This window comes from Homo sapiens, chromosome Y (genome assembly GCF_000001405.40).
Source record: "Homo sapiens chromosome Y, GRCh38.p14 Primary Assembly".
Lineage (NCBI taxonomy): Eukaryota > Metazoa > Chordata > Mammalia > Primates > Hominidae > Homo > Homo sapiens.
The window spans coordinates 12,467,499-12,480,636 of NC_000024.10; the positions used below are offsets into that span (position 1 = coordinate 12,467,499).

The following is a 13,138-nucleotide window of genomic DNA, read 5'->3' on the forward strand; positions in this document are numbered from 1 at the left end:
AGCCACCTTTGTGAAAATTATGACTGAGGAAATGATGACAGTGAAAGAGGTCAGACCTAACCAACTCCATCTTGCTTCTAACCTTTTAAGTTGTCCTTGTTCTTTCCTGGGTGTGGGCCAAACTAGCCTTGGGAAGGAGTTTAGTTCATGGTTTAACTCTGAAACAAAATTGATAATAATCCTTTCCTTAAAAGAACACTTCCTTGCTTGGGGACCAGTCTGCCTTTGCAAATTAGCTACAAGATTAGAAATTTCAGTTTAGGGGTCATGCAGCCTCTGGCTCCAAGAGTCTGAACCTCCCCAAGTTTCTCCTGGGGGTAACATCACTATTGTAAAGCCTAAGATCAGAACTTGAGATATTTTGCAGACCCTGCACTGGATGGATTAGCTAGCAACACCCAGACCTGTATTCTGGCTCTATCAGCTCTGCTATCCACCCAGAAGAGAAGACAGCAAGAAATCCTGACTTCAACCCCCTATGATTCCATTTCTAACTTGACCAATCAGCACTCCCCACTTCCCAAGCCCGTACCCACCAAATTATCCTTAAAATCTCTGGTCTCTGAATGCCTGGGGAGACTTATTTGAGTAATAATAAAACTACAGACTCCCTTGGAGCCAGCTCTGCCTGGATTACTCTTTCTCCATTACAATTCCCCTATCTTGATAAATCAGCTCTGTCTAGGCAGCCTACAAAGTGAAGAAATTGGGTGGTTACAAGTATGCCATAGTGGTTTCAGATATCAAAGAAAAGGGAAAATATGATTGTTTCTCTCTACTGAACTTTCTTGCTACCCCCAAGTGAGGAAGGAAACTACATTTCCAGTAAGGTAGCTATTACACACATGTATTTCAAATGCAGCCAGGCTAAACCTGCTAGCAAATAAAAAGGGAAACATCATCAAACCAGAGTTAGAAAGAGTTTCAACTCCACAGATTCTTACTTCCACCACTGTAGAGATTCTCACACTGTGGGTAGCAAGGTGGTTTTAGCTTTGGGTAGATATCTATGGAGAAAACAACATTGCATTGTTATAAAAGAAAATTGTCCTTCCCTTAGGAGCAGCCTGCAGAAACAAGCACATCAGTGTGTCTATCAACCTTGCAGTTTGTTCTCATTTGCTGCCCATGGTGTGTTTATAGATTACCATTGTCCAGTTAAAAATCACTTTGCAGATAGAATTAAAACCTTGAAACCTGAAACTTAAAAAAAAAAAGGTTTCTGTTTTGTTCCTGAAGTTTGTTTCCATGGCAAGAATCCAGTGTAGCTGTCTGCCATGATGGAAGCAAGTAATACAAAAAAGAAATCTAGGAAGAATTGTCATGGAATAAATTTACCAACAGTTTGATGCCTGTGATGAAAATAACACCAACCTTATATTCCTGGACCAAACTAAGGGTTGGGCTGCTATTTCTCATGGCCCTATAATGAGACGCAGATGAACTGGGGAGGAAGAGAGTTTTTATTCTGCAACCAGTTACAGGGAGAAGGCCTGGAAATTATCACCAGACTGTTAGAAACAAATGCTTGTTCCTTGGTGCCAAAAAAAAAGAACTAGCACTCAGATGAAGAATTTTCTCAGCAAGGCAATTTTTACTTCTATAGAAGGATGTAACTTGTGGATGGAGCAATGGCAAGAGCACACCAGAACAAGGGAGGGGAAGGGGTTTTGATTCCTGTTGCAGGTCACCTCTGCTGATGAGTCATTCCTCTATCTGGTATGGCTGGGCCACACAGCCTAAGCTAATTCTGATTGGTTATTTTAAAAAGAGCAGGGGTATGAGTCAGAGTGGTGTGGTGAGTAGTTTCATGAGAAGGACGGTTACAGAACAGGTGACTCAGGATGAGTCAGGTCAGAGCAGGTGACCAGGGGTGACTCAAGATGGAGTACAAGACCAGGGGATCAGAGGTAAACTACTGATTAGAACTGACAGGAAAGTTGTTTACTGAAACTAGAGGCAAGGGGGTGAAGAGAACCAGGAAGTTGAACTTTAAAATGGAAAACAAAGAATAAAATAGCTGAACATATTGACATACTGATTCTTTGAAGAGAAACTTGGAGTTCACTATATTTAACAATCTCCCATCTTGAATTTTTACAGTTCTTTCTTCAAACTTCCTTAACATGTCTTGATTCAGTTGTTCTACTTGATTCTCTAAAAGAAGCTTCTCTGAATAAGGTGAAGAGTTGAGGAAGGTTTTAGTAAGTGCTGTCTCTATGAGTCTGTGCACCTGCCCATGATTCATGGTATGGCACAGCACCCTACAAGAATAAGTACAGCTGCTATGGCTGCGAGAGAAGTAAGAATTGAGGTTGTGATTCTTTTCCATTTACCAAAACATTTTTCTAGCCACCCTGTGAAAGGGTCATTTGCCCCCAAGTTTTTGGCTAACTCACTGGACAGAGCACTTAGACCTTGCAATGCCTTTGTTATACTTCCATCAGGAGTGGTGTTGTTTGTGATGAACGTAGTACATTGAGTTTTAATCATGAAGCAAACTCCTCCGCTTTCTGCTAATATCATGTCTAAGCCTATCCTATTTTCCCAAGCCATCTGGCAAGCAGCCCCTAATTGCTCAGCTATTCCTTTAACAGCATCTCTAGTGTAGTTAATAAAGTGCTGTTTGTTGTATAAATATAATTTATCTAATCTACATGCTTATTAATTGTCACCCACCAAAATATTGACAAAAATCCTGCAGCTATTTGATTGTGGGCTTTAAATTTATCTGGTACTCCTTGTGGGACTCCAATTGCATCTAGATAGATGTGTAGGTTAAAAGACCCATAAGGGGCTTCTCTTGCTTTATGATATTGCATTTTTCTTTCCTTTGGCTGATAAAATGCCAGTGTGAAAGGGATAGCCAATTGGATTAGAGCACAAGTGCTGCTCCAGTTACTCAGCAGAGTGTCCAGTAAAGCTCCACCACAGTGCCACCACACATCTGCTAGGGGATGAACAAGGGCCGACTGATTGATAAGCTCTTGAAAATTCTTACACTCACAGCATCCCCTCAGGTCTCCAAGGATTACTAAGTTTCCTCCTTGTCGTGAGAGACACGAAGTAACTTAGTGTTGGGAGACAGAAGCTGGATGGCCCTCAGGGGCTGGCCTGCAGGGTGTCAACCTTTGGGATATAGCAGAGAGAGAGCTTGGCACAACTTGTTACCCCAGACTGTGGAATCCTGGAAAAGAACTACCATACAGCCCATGCCTGGTCAACTGGAGGACCATCCTAGTCGAAATGTGACAATCTGGGCCTCTGGCCTGCCATGCGCACAAGCGTAACAATTGCTTTTGTTTAATGTGTGGACAGAATATTTGATCCATTCCAATCAGGCATTTGCATCTTGATATCCTGGCTCTATTGCCAGTTTGTTATAAATCATTTACCTTTTACAACATCTACTCTGGTCCTATCATTGGGTATGGAAAGGATGACAGTTTGATCAGAAGAAGTTCTAAACAGAGAAGAGGAGCTAGGGGGTGAAGAGGGTGAGGGATTAATAAAATGCATTTCAAATGAGTCTATGAGGTCTGTGCCAGCCAAGTTAGCTCCCATGTCATAGAAGCAACATAAAGTGGCGTCAGGATCAGTAGAGGTAAGAATAGAAAGCTGCATCAGATTGCATTGATATTATTGACAATTAGAGGGAACACTTTATTTGGTGAAATGGAGTAACGGTTCTAGAGAGGTGCAGCCCTTTGAGGAAGTCCACCCTTGTTCCTCAGTGGTCCATAGGAGGGACAGTGCTATGGAGGTCCATAGGACCTCATTAGTGCTATGGACCACTTGTTCCTCAGTGGTCCATAGGAGGGAGCTAGAAACTAGTCCATGTTTTGTTCCTAAAATGTGAGAAACATAAGGGAGTTGGTCTCTATGAAGCAAGAGTTGCAGAGGTCAGATGTGCCTTTGGAGAGACAGATATTTTTCTGAGGAGGCCAGTTACCTTTGGTTTTGGAGATCCCTGCAAGGTATGGTGAGCAAGCATCAAATGTGATTGTCTCAGGAAAAGGTGACCTGGTTACATTAATAACAAGGTGCTCAGCAGTAGAGCAAGGAAAGGAGGAGTTATAAAATAAATGGAGGGTTAAACTTTGCTTAGCTTTAGTTTGGTAGAGTTTTGTCCTGGGACTATGGCCCATGACTCCAGAGGGGACAGTGCTCTTTTGACTCAGGTGTGATGGGTCCAGCCTCTTTCTGCTGTCCAAACTGCAGTTTCAGTAGTTAGGAGCACTAAGTAATGTCCTTCCCAGGCTGGTTTGAGCTTTTTGCCTTCCAGCTTTTGATGAGGACATGATCCCCAGGTTGATATTGTTGCCTTGCGAACTCCAGGGGTGGCAACTGTGCTAAGAGACCTTTAGTTTTATGGAAGAGAAAATAGATGACAGACCAAGTGTATAATTTTTAAGAAACTGATCTTTTGTTTCAAAGGTAGGAATGTCAGCAGTGGCATGTAAATAAGGCAATATGTACTGCCATCTCATAAGGAGAAAGACCAGTCTCTTTCTGCAGGGAAGTTCAGATTCTCAGCAGGACAATAAGAAGGCATTTGGTCCATGGTAACTGAATCTCCAGAACCAATTTGGTTCAGTGGTTTTTTAGAGTTTGGTTCAGTCTTTCCACTCTTCCTGATGAAGGTGGGTGCCAGAGAGTATGATATTCCCATGTCATATCCAGTACCTGGGCTAATTTTTAATGACATGTGCAGTAAAATTGTAGCAGGACAAACCACAGACAAGCACCCCTCAGACATCAACTTGTGGAAGGAAAGGCCTTTATTCAGCTGGGAGCATTGGCAAACTCACATCTCCAAAAACCAAGCTCCCCAAGTGAGCAATTTGTGTCCCTTTTAAGGGCTTACAACTCTAAGGGACTCTGCATGAGAAAGTTATGATCTATTGAGCAAGCATGGGGTATGTGACTGGGATCTGCATGCACCAGCAATGAGAACAGAACAGTACAGGACAGGGATTTTCACGGTACTTTTCCATACAATGTCTGGAATCTATAGATAATATAACCGATAAGGTCGGGGGTCAATCTTTAACTACCAGGTCTGGAATGCAGTGTTAGGCTGCCTGACTAGTGATTTCATTTCTGTCTTTTCTTTAACTGCTACTTTTCCTTTGAGGCAGAAATTTAGTCATAAAACAATATGAGAGGTGGTCTCCTCCCTTGTTCCCCCACTTTGAAACCTCACTCATTAGTGGGAGTTCTCACTTTCATCCTCACTACTCATGTCTTCTTGCAAGACAGATCGATAGTGATTCATATGGTACACTTGTGCTGACACATTTTGGTGAACTTGGGTAGTGATGAAGCTTTTTATCCTTTGAAGAAGTACAGGTAGCAAACAAGGGAGTAGTAAGCAGGTTCCTATTACTATTATAACTCCTATTATAAGAGTTTTAAATCCTCCTAGCACTGGGAACCATTTTCCAAACATGGCCCCAGGATCAAATCCATGCCACACTTGCATGGGCACATGTGCCAGTTTTGTCATATCTCTAACAATGTCTTTAACTACTTCCCCTTGATCATCTATGTGTAGACAGCAATTACTAAGGTTAAATTTCCCACAGACCTCCCCTTCAGCTGCTAGCAAGTAGTCAAGAGCCAATCTATTTTGATAGATAGCATTTCTCTTCTGAGTTTCTTGCCAGGCCACAATAGTCAAGGCTCTGCGGTTTTATTAGTGATGATTTCTAAGACAGCTTGTAACCCTATGATTCGGTTGAGCATGTAAATGGGGCTCCAGTATCCCCATAAGCCGTCTTGCGCCTAAGTAGCAGGCTCATAATAGTGTATGATTCTCTGAGGGGGCCATTCATCATCTTTCCAATTTCCTACAGCCATGCTTCTCTTTTCATGAGAAGCATATACAGGGAAGCCCAGGAGTTCACCTGTTTTTATGGGCAGTAGGAAGAAAGATGGTTTAATAGTGCCAATAACACAACTACCTGCCCGTTGGTCGGGTAATTTGGCATAAGCTATATGCCCACATATCCAGTATAATCCATTGGGGGCTGTCCAGTCCCGGTGGGACTCCAGGTGGGTCCACACAGTTTGCAACTTTGGAAATTTATTAAACAGATTCCTCTCTGTGTGATTTGAACTTCACCAAGTGACAATTTTGGGGTATCATTATACAGTTTCTGTCCCAGACAACTAAGTCATCCTACAGGGTGAGAGAATTATTTTTCTTCTCCAGTATGGATTATTGTCCAATAATATAGGCTTTTAGGACCCAGAAATTATCACGGTGATTCTTTTGAGCCAGCAATTCATCAGTAACTGGGTCTATATTATCGAATTTCTCATGGCCATTGATCTCCCATCACAGTTCCTCCACATACATAACACGAAGTGACATTGAGAGACTGGGCTACATGCTCGGCTAATTGCAAAAATAAATTTCTTGTTTTTCCTGGAATTTCTGGTACTGGCACATTCATCATAGAAAGTTTGAAACACTGGCTCAGGATAGGGTTTAAAAGGAACATGTTCCTTTTAAAGTTCCTAGGCATTCATAGTAACTATAGAACAGAAAGATTGTTTTAACTTGCTGCCCTACCTTGGTAACCTGATATATACACTGAGAGCAGTCCTCCATGCGGGGAAAATCAGTGGAAGTTTTTACTATACAAGTCCAAATTATAAGGAAAATGAGTCCCATGATGATCCTCCTCATGCTTCAGCCACGTAGACCAGTCAGCTTCTGGGTGTGACTGGAACAGGGCTTGTCGTCCTCCTCAGAGTCACTTTGCAGGGGTTGTCCGGGCTCGGTTTTGCCTCCCAGGTTTCATTGGCTGCAGGTTTCACACGGCTGTGGTGGATCCAGGCTGGGATTCCTTCTACCTTTACAGCCGTGGGGGTGGTCAGGATGATGGTCTGAGGTCCTTTCCACCGTGGCCCCAAAGGGGCTACGTTCCAGTCCTTGATCCACATGCGATCACTTGGAGAGAAAGGGTGAACTGGAGAGAATAAGCTGATGGGACACCTCTCATTTGCCCAAGTTGAGATTGTCTGTGTAATTTTTCCCAATGCCTGTAGCTGTCAGTGTAATTCAATTCCACCTAACTCTCAGGGAGTGCCTGGAAGTCCCCACAGTATAGGAGGAGGCCTATGATACAGTATTTCATAAGGGCAGTATCCTGTTTTCTTAGAAGGCATGAGTCTTATTTTAAACAATGCCATAGGAAGGGCATGTATCCACCTTAATCCTGTTTCCTTAATTTTTCCAAATGTATGAGCCACTGCAAGACATACTTAGAATAAGTATAGATAGTTCCTTCCTGGTTTTGTATGTACTTCAAAACTTGGCTGAGTGCAAACAGCTCACATGTTTGACCAGACCAATTATTAGGCAATTTTCCTGACTCTATTATTATAAGAGTTTCTCTGTCAATTTACTGAATACCCATTGTGTCTTTTTCCCTCAATCACCCAGGAGGAACTATCTATAAATAAGTGTCATCCCATCCTGAAGGGAGTTTTCTCCTAGGTCTGGTCAGACCTTTATATGGTAATTATTTAAGGATATGATGACTTCAACCAATTCAAGCTCAATTTTCCATTTACTTTTGCTAATTAAATGACTTTTTCTAATATTTGACTGAATAAATTTGGAGACTTCGTAAGACTTTGGGTAAGACTGTCTATCAGTTTTACTGTTTTTGACTGCAGTGAGGTCTTGTCTCTCAAAGGCAAATAACTCTTGTCTGTCTTCTGCTAACAGAAAAGCCCAGAAGGCATCTTTTAAATCTATTACTGTAAACCACTGGTGACTGTATGGGAAAAACAGGGTGGGTAGTTTGGACTATCTGATTAATAATAGCTCTAAGGTCTTGCACTAACCATCTTGCTTCTTTACAGGGAGTATTGGAGTCTTATAGGGAGACTTACAGGGCTTAAGAAGCCCATCACAGAGAAGACCTTCAATTATCAATTGCAGGTTTTAAATTTACCCTGGCTTTTAAAGGAATGGGGTACATTGCTTTCTTGTTCTACTTTCCCAGGGGTGTTTAACTTTTTTAATTTAGCAGGAATTGGAGGAATCTGTAAATTTCCTCGATTCCCATCTTTTGTTATGGTGGTGAGAAAGTTTAGGAGATGGAGGAATTTTCTAAGATTGATTTAGAGGCCTAGGCCTAAGTGTAACATTAACTCCTGTTATATATAAAGTTTCAGTGCCACAAAAGAAATAGCAGTCGAATATAAAATTTTCTTTTAAATTCTCAGCAAGGCAAGTTACTTTTATAGAAGTTTGTCCATTACAGATGGAATAATGGTGAGTGCATACCTGGACAAGGGAAGGGAAGGGGTTCTTATTCCTGATGCAAGTGGCCCCTGCTGCTGTGTTGTACCCCTATTGGCTAGGGTTAGATTGCACAGGCTAAACTAATTCTGATTGGCTAATTTAAAGAGAATGATGGGGTGAGTGCCTGGTGGGAGTCAGGGCAGAGCAGGTAGCAGGTAATTGGAATGAGTTAGGGTGGAGCAGGTGATTGGAATGTAGGGTGGAACAGGTGATAGAAGGAGTCAGGGTGGAGTAAGTAATCGAAAAAGCTTGCTTTATGAGGAAGTTTAAAAGTAGAAGGCAAAGAATTGAACATACTGACATATTAATTCTTTGAAAAGAAATTTAGAACTCATATCTAACAATCCCTTCCTAATAGATTTGTACCTGCTTCCAGAATTAAAAGAAATTTAATATTAGCTGATGTGCTTTTATATATGACTTTTGTTCTTTTTCCCATTTGGGACATTCTCTTTTGAAGTGACCTATTTTTAATTTGAAGCATTTGTTTTGTCCTCTTTCTCTCCCTTTGCCTCTCCCTCTCTCTTTGCCTCTCTGTATCTCTCTCTCTCTCTTTCTCTGCCTCTCTGTCTCTCTCTTTCTTTCGCTCTCTGACTCTCTCTTTCACTCTCTGACTCTCTCTTTCTCTCTCTCTCACATATACATTTTGGGCTTCTCTTAGAAGCTCTTCTATAGGTTTATCTTTCTAGTTCTCTATATTTTGTAATTTCTTGTTAATATCTGGCCAGCTGTTAGTGACAAAATGAAATTTTAACATTCCCTGCCCAGGAGGATCCTCAAGACCAGCATATTTTCTCAATTGTTTCTTTAATCTGTCTAACAATTCTATAGGCCTTTCGTCTTTGTCTTGCTGTATATCAAATATTTGGGTAAGATTCTGGGTTCGGGGTACTGATCTTTTAATCCCCTTTATTATCAATTCCTTAATGTCCTGCACATTTTCTTGGTGAGCTGCATTGTTATTGTCTCCCCAGTATATGGAGTTCACTATATTTAACAAGACTAACCTAATATTAGTTTTCCAGAGCTTATATACCTTCCAACCTATATGTATACATGTAAGTGTGCATTTATCTAATGATGTAAGTGATTAACTTCTTTTAATCTATAACTAAGGTCTGAGTCCTGAGGACCTTCCTCTGGAGCCTCAGTAAATTGACTTAATCTAATGGGTCCAGGTGCCAGGGTGATTACCCATATGTTGTCTCCTGCTAAGTCACAGAGGTTTAGGGAGTTCCTTCAAACCCCCAATAAACGTGTTAGTGGAGGCCTGGGGAGTTTTTGCAGACCCCCAATAAAACTTGTTTAATCCTAAATGGGTCCTGTTAAGAATTCCTTCATTATTTTGTCACGCTTTAAGGCCCGGGAAAGTCCTGGAAAAAAACTCCTGGTGGGCTTTTTTTACATTCCAGCCTTTGTATAAGGGCACTGGCTTTTAATATTTAACCACTCAGTCTATACTGAATCAGGTGTTGTAGGGGCCTGTGTTAGTGAGAACTGGCCTGCCACACTTCCACTCTGTTTCCAAGTGCTCTCACTCATGCACTGTGAAAGGAACATAAATCTTGGGGCCCCCAAGTCAGTAAGTTAAAGGGAAATGTCAAGCTGGGGACTGCTTAGGGCCAACCTGCCCCCCATTCTGTTCAAAGTTATCCCACTCCTCACTGAGATAGATGCATATCTGATTGCCTTCTTTGGAAAGGGTAATCAGAAACTCAAAAGAATGCAACTGTTTGCTGTCACCTATCTATGACCTGAAAGCCCCCTCCCTGCTTGGAGTCTTCCTGTCTTTGCTTCAAGCTGTACTGCCTTTCCAGACCTAACCAATGTACTTCTTACATATATTGATTGATATCTCATGTCTCCCTAAAATGTATAAAACTAAGCTGGGCCCCAACCACCTTGGGCACATGTTGTCAGGACCTTTTGAGTCTATGTCACAGGTGCATCCTCAACTTTGGCAAAATAAACTTTCTAAATTAACTGAGACCTGCCTCAGATTTTCTGTGTTCATAAAACTGATTATCTTCCTGCCCTCTGAAGCACTATGAGCTTAAATTAATAAAGATTAGATTTTGGCCTGGCACGGTGGCTCACATCTGTAATCTCAGCACTTTGCAAGGCTGAAGAGGGCGGATCACCTGAGGTTGGGAGTTAGAGACCAGCCTGACCAACATGGAGAAACCCCATCTCTACTTGTTGTAACCAAGCGAATTATAGAGAAACGCCACACTGTGAGACTAATTCAGGGGCCCTTTATTAGACAGCGACCGAGACATGGCTAGCGCTAAAAATTCTCTCAGCCGCGAAGAAGGGCCTATATTTTCTTTTATACTTTGGTTTGGAAACAGAAGGAGGAATTGAGCTGAAGCAATCTCACAGAAGTAAAACAGGCAAAAAAGTTGAAAAGACACATGGTTACAGGAAAACAAACAGTTCCAGGTGCAGGGGCTTTAAACTCATCACAAGGTGATAGGTGCGGGGGCTCTGGGTGCTATCTGCCAGACACAAAAGCGGGGGCTTAGGGTACTATCACCCAGGTGAATTCCTGGGAACTGTGGACATAGCTTGCCACCTTACCTTATCAGTTAATTGCACTCTTTGATGTGCTAAGTGTCAGCTTGCACAAGTTAAGTCCTTGAGGAAGGGGGTGGGTAACGAGCCCTTAATGTCTTGCAAATGAAGGAGCCAAATGGAATCCGTCCGGCTTTTTCAGCTAAGAGAGAGTCAATAAAATTAATACAAGTTACGGTATCACTTTCTAAAAATACAAAATTAGCTGGGCGTGGTGGAGCATGCCTGTAATCCCAGCTACTCGGGAGGCTGAGGCAGGAGAATCGCTTAAACCTGGGAGGCGGAGGTTGTGGTGAACCAAGATTATGCCATTGCACTCCAGCCTGGGCAACAAGAGTGAAAGTCTGTCTCAAAAATAAATAAATAAATAAATAAACAAATAAATAAATAAATAAGATTAGATTTCAATTAAAAAAAAAGAAGCAGTGAAAACACCCAAAAAGAAAGAAATTGTAGTTTACTTGCAAGTATTTTCTCTTTTCAAAATAGTAACTCCTAGCTCACCAACCTCTTTCCTAGAAAAAGTAAGGTAAACACTAAACACTACTCAATAGTAGGTGGGTGCCTCTCTATGTAATTTTTTAAAAAAACTTCTACTACAGGCTGGGAATGATGGCTCATGCCTGTAATCCCAGCATTTTGGGAGGCTGAGGCCAGAGGATTGCTTGAGGCCAGGAGTTTGAGACCAGCCTGCATAATATAGCAAGAACTTATCTCTACAAAAAATATAAATAAAGAAACAATAACTGGGTATGATGATGCATGCTTATCATCCGAGCTACTTGGGGGGCTGAGGTGGGAGGATCACTTGAGTCAAGGAGTTTGAGGCTTCATTGAATCGCGATCATTCCAGTGCACTCCAGCCTGAGCAACAGAGCAAGACTCCATCTCTAAAAGAAAAAAAAGCTTTATTACACAAGTGTGTGTGTGTGCATGTTCATAATCAAGCTATAGTTTTCTTTGGTGCATGTTAAGATAGACATCAATGTTGTCTTCCTTTGGTTACCTTTCTTCTCCTTGTCTTTTTAAACTGCTTGTGATATTTTTGAGAGGTATTCCTATTGGTGCTATAGACCCACTTCATTCATATCAGCAGCACCATCGCCCAAGTGTCCCGCGATGATGTCACTGGTGAGCATTTCATGTTCTTTCTTTTTCTTATGAACAATGGTGCCACCAGCTTTCCGAGCTTTCCCCCATGCCCACGTGGTTGCGCTGTTGCTGTTTGTGCATGGCAAGCAGAATCAGTAAGGGAGATTGCTCATATTCGAATGCCCCTGAAGGTCTCTTCAGGACTTTGATGGGGTTATAATCCCACCAGTAATTGGTCAGATCTTGGGCTGTCTCAAATTGCCATTGCCACACCTTTACTTGAACGTTTTTAAAAATAAATAAATAAATAAAGCCCAATTGTTTAATTGGTTTAAATTTAAACAGTGGCTTAAATTGGTTTGCAATGGATATGTGTGACCCTGAGGATTTCACACACATGTCAGTTGGGCAACTCTGTGATTCCCTCTTTGAATTTTTCTTTTCAGTGAATGGAATGATCATATCTCTCTTCTTTTAGTTGCCTCATAGTTTCTCTCCTCCATTTTCTTTCTTTCTTTCTTTCTTTTTTTTTTTTGCCATCCATCTGTTTTGGTAGGAGCTATCTATACATAGTTTGCGCTCTATAACCAGAATTTCTGCATCTATAGATCCAACCAATCTTGTATTGAAAATATTTCAAAAATAAAATATAGCAATCCAATAAAAAGTAATACAAATAAAAATAATATAGTATAACAACTATTTGCATAGCATTTACACTGTATCAAGAATTATGAGTAACATAGGGATAATTTAAAGTATAGAAAGGGCTGGGCACCATGGCTCATGCCTGTAATCCCAGCACTTTGGGAGGCTGAAGGGGGTGGGTCACTTGAAGTCGGGAGTTTGAAACTAGCCTGTCCAACATCGTTAAAACCCATCTCTATTAAAATAGAAAAATTAGCTGGGAGTGGTGGTGCATACCTGTAACCCCAGCTGCTTGGGAGTCTGAGTCAGGAGAATCTCTTGAACCGGGGAGGGGGAGGTTACAGTGAGCCAAGATCACACCACTGCACTCCAGCCTGGGCAACAGAGTGAGATTCTGTCTCCAAATAAATAAATAAAAATATACAGGAACATATACTTGCATTATATGCAAATGCTACACAGTTTTATATCAGGGACTTCAGCAGCTGTGGATTTTGG

General features: G+C 41.5%; 1 pseudogene; it reads right to left on the bottom strand.

The window, feature by feature from the left end:
• The window catches only part of LOC124905301 (glycoprotein Xg-like), a 69,005-nt pseudogene that overhangs the window by 28,894 nt on the left and 26,973 nt on the right, over positions 1–13,138 (bottom strand).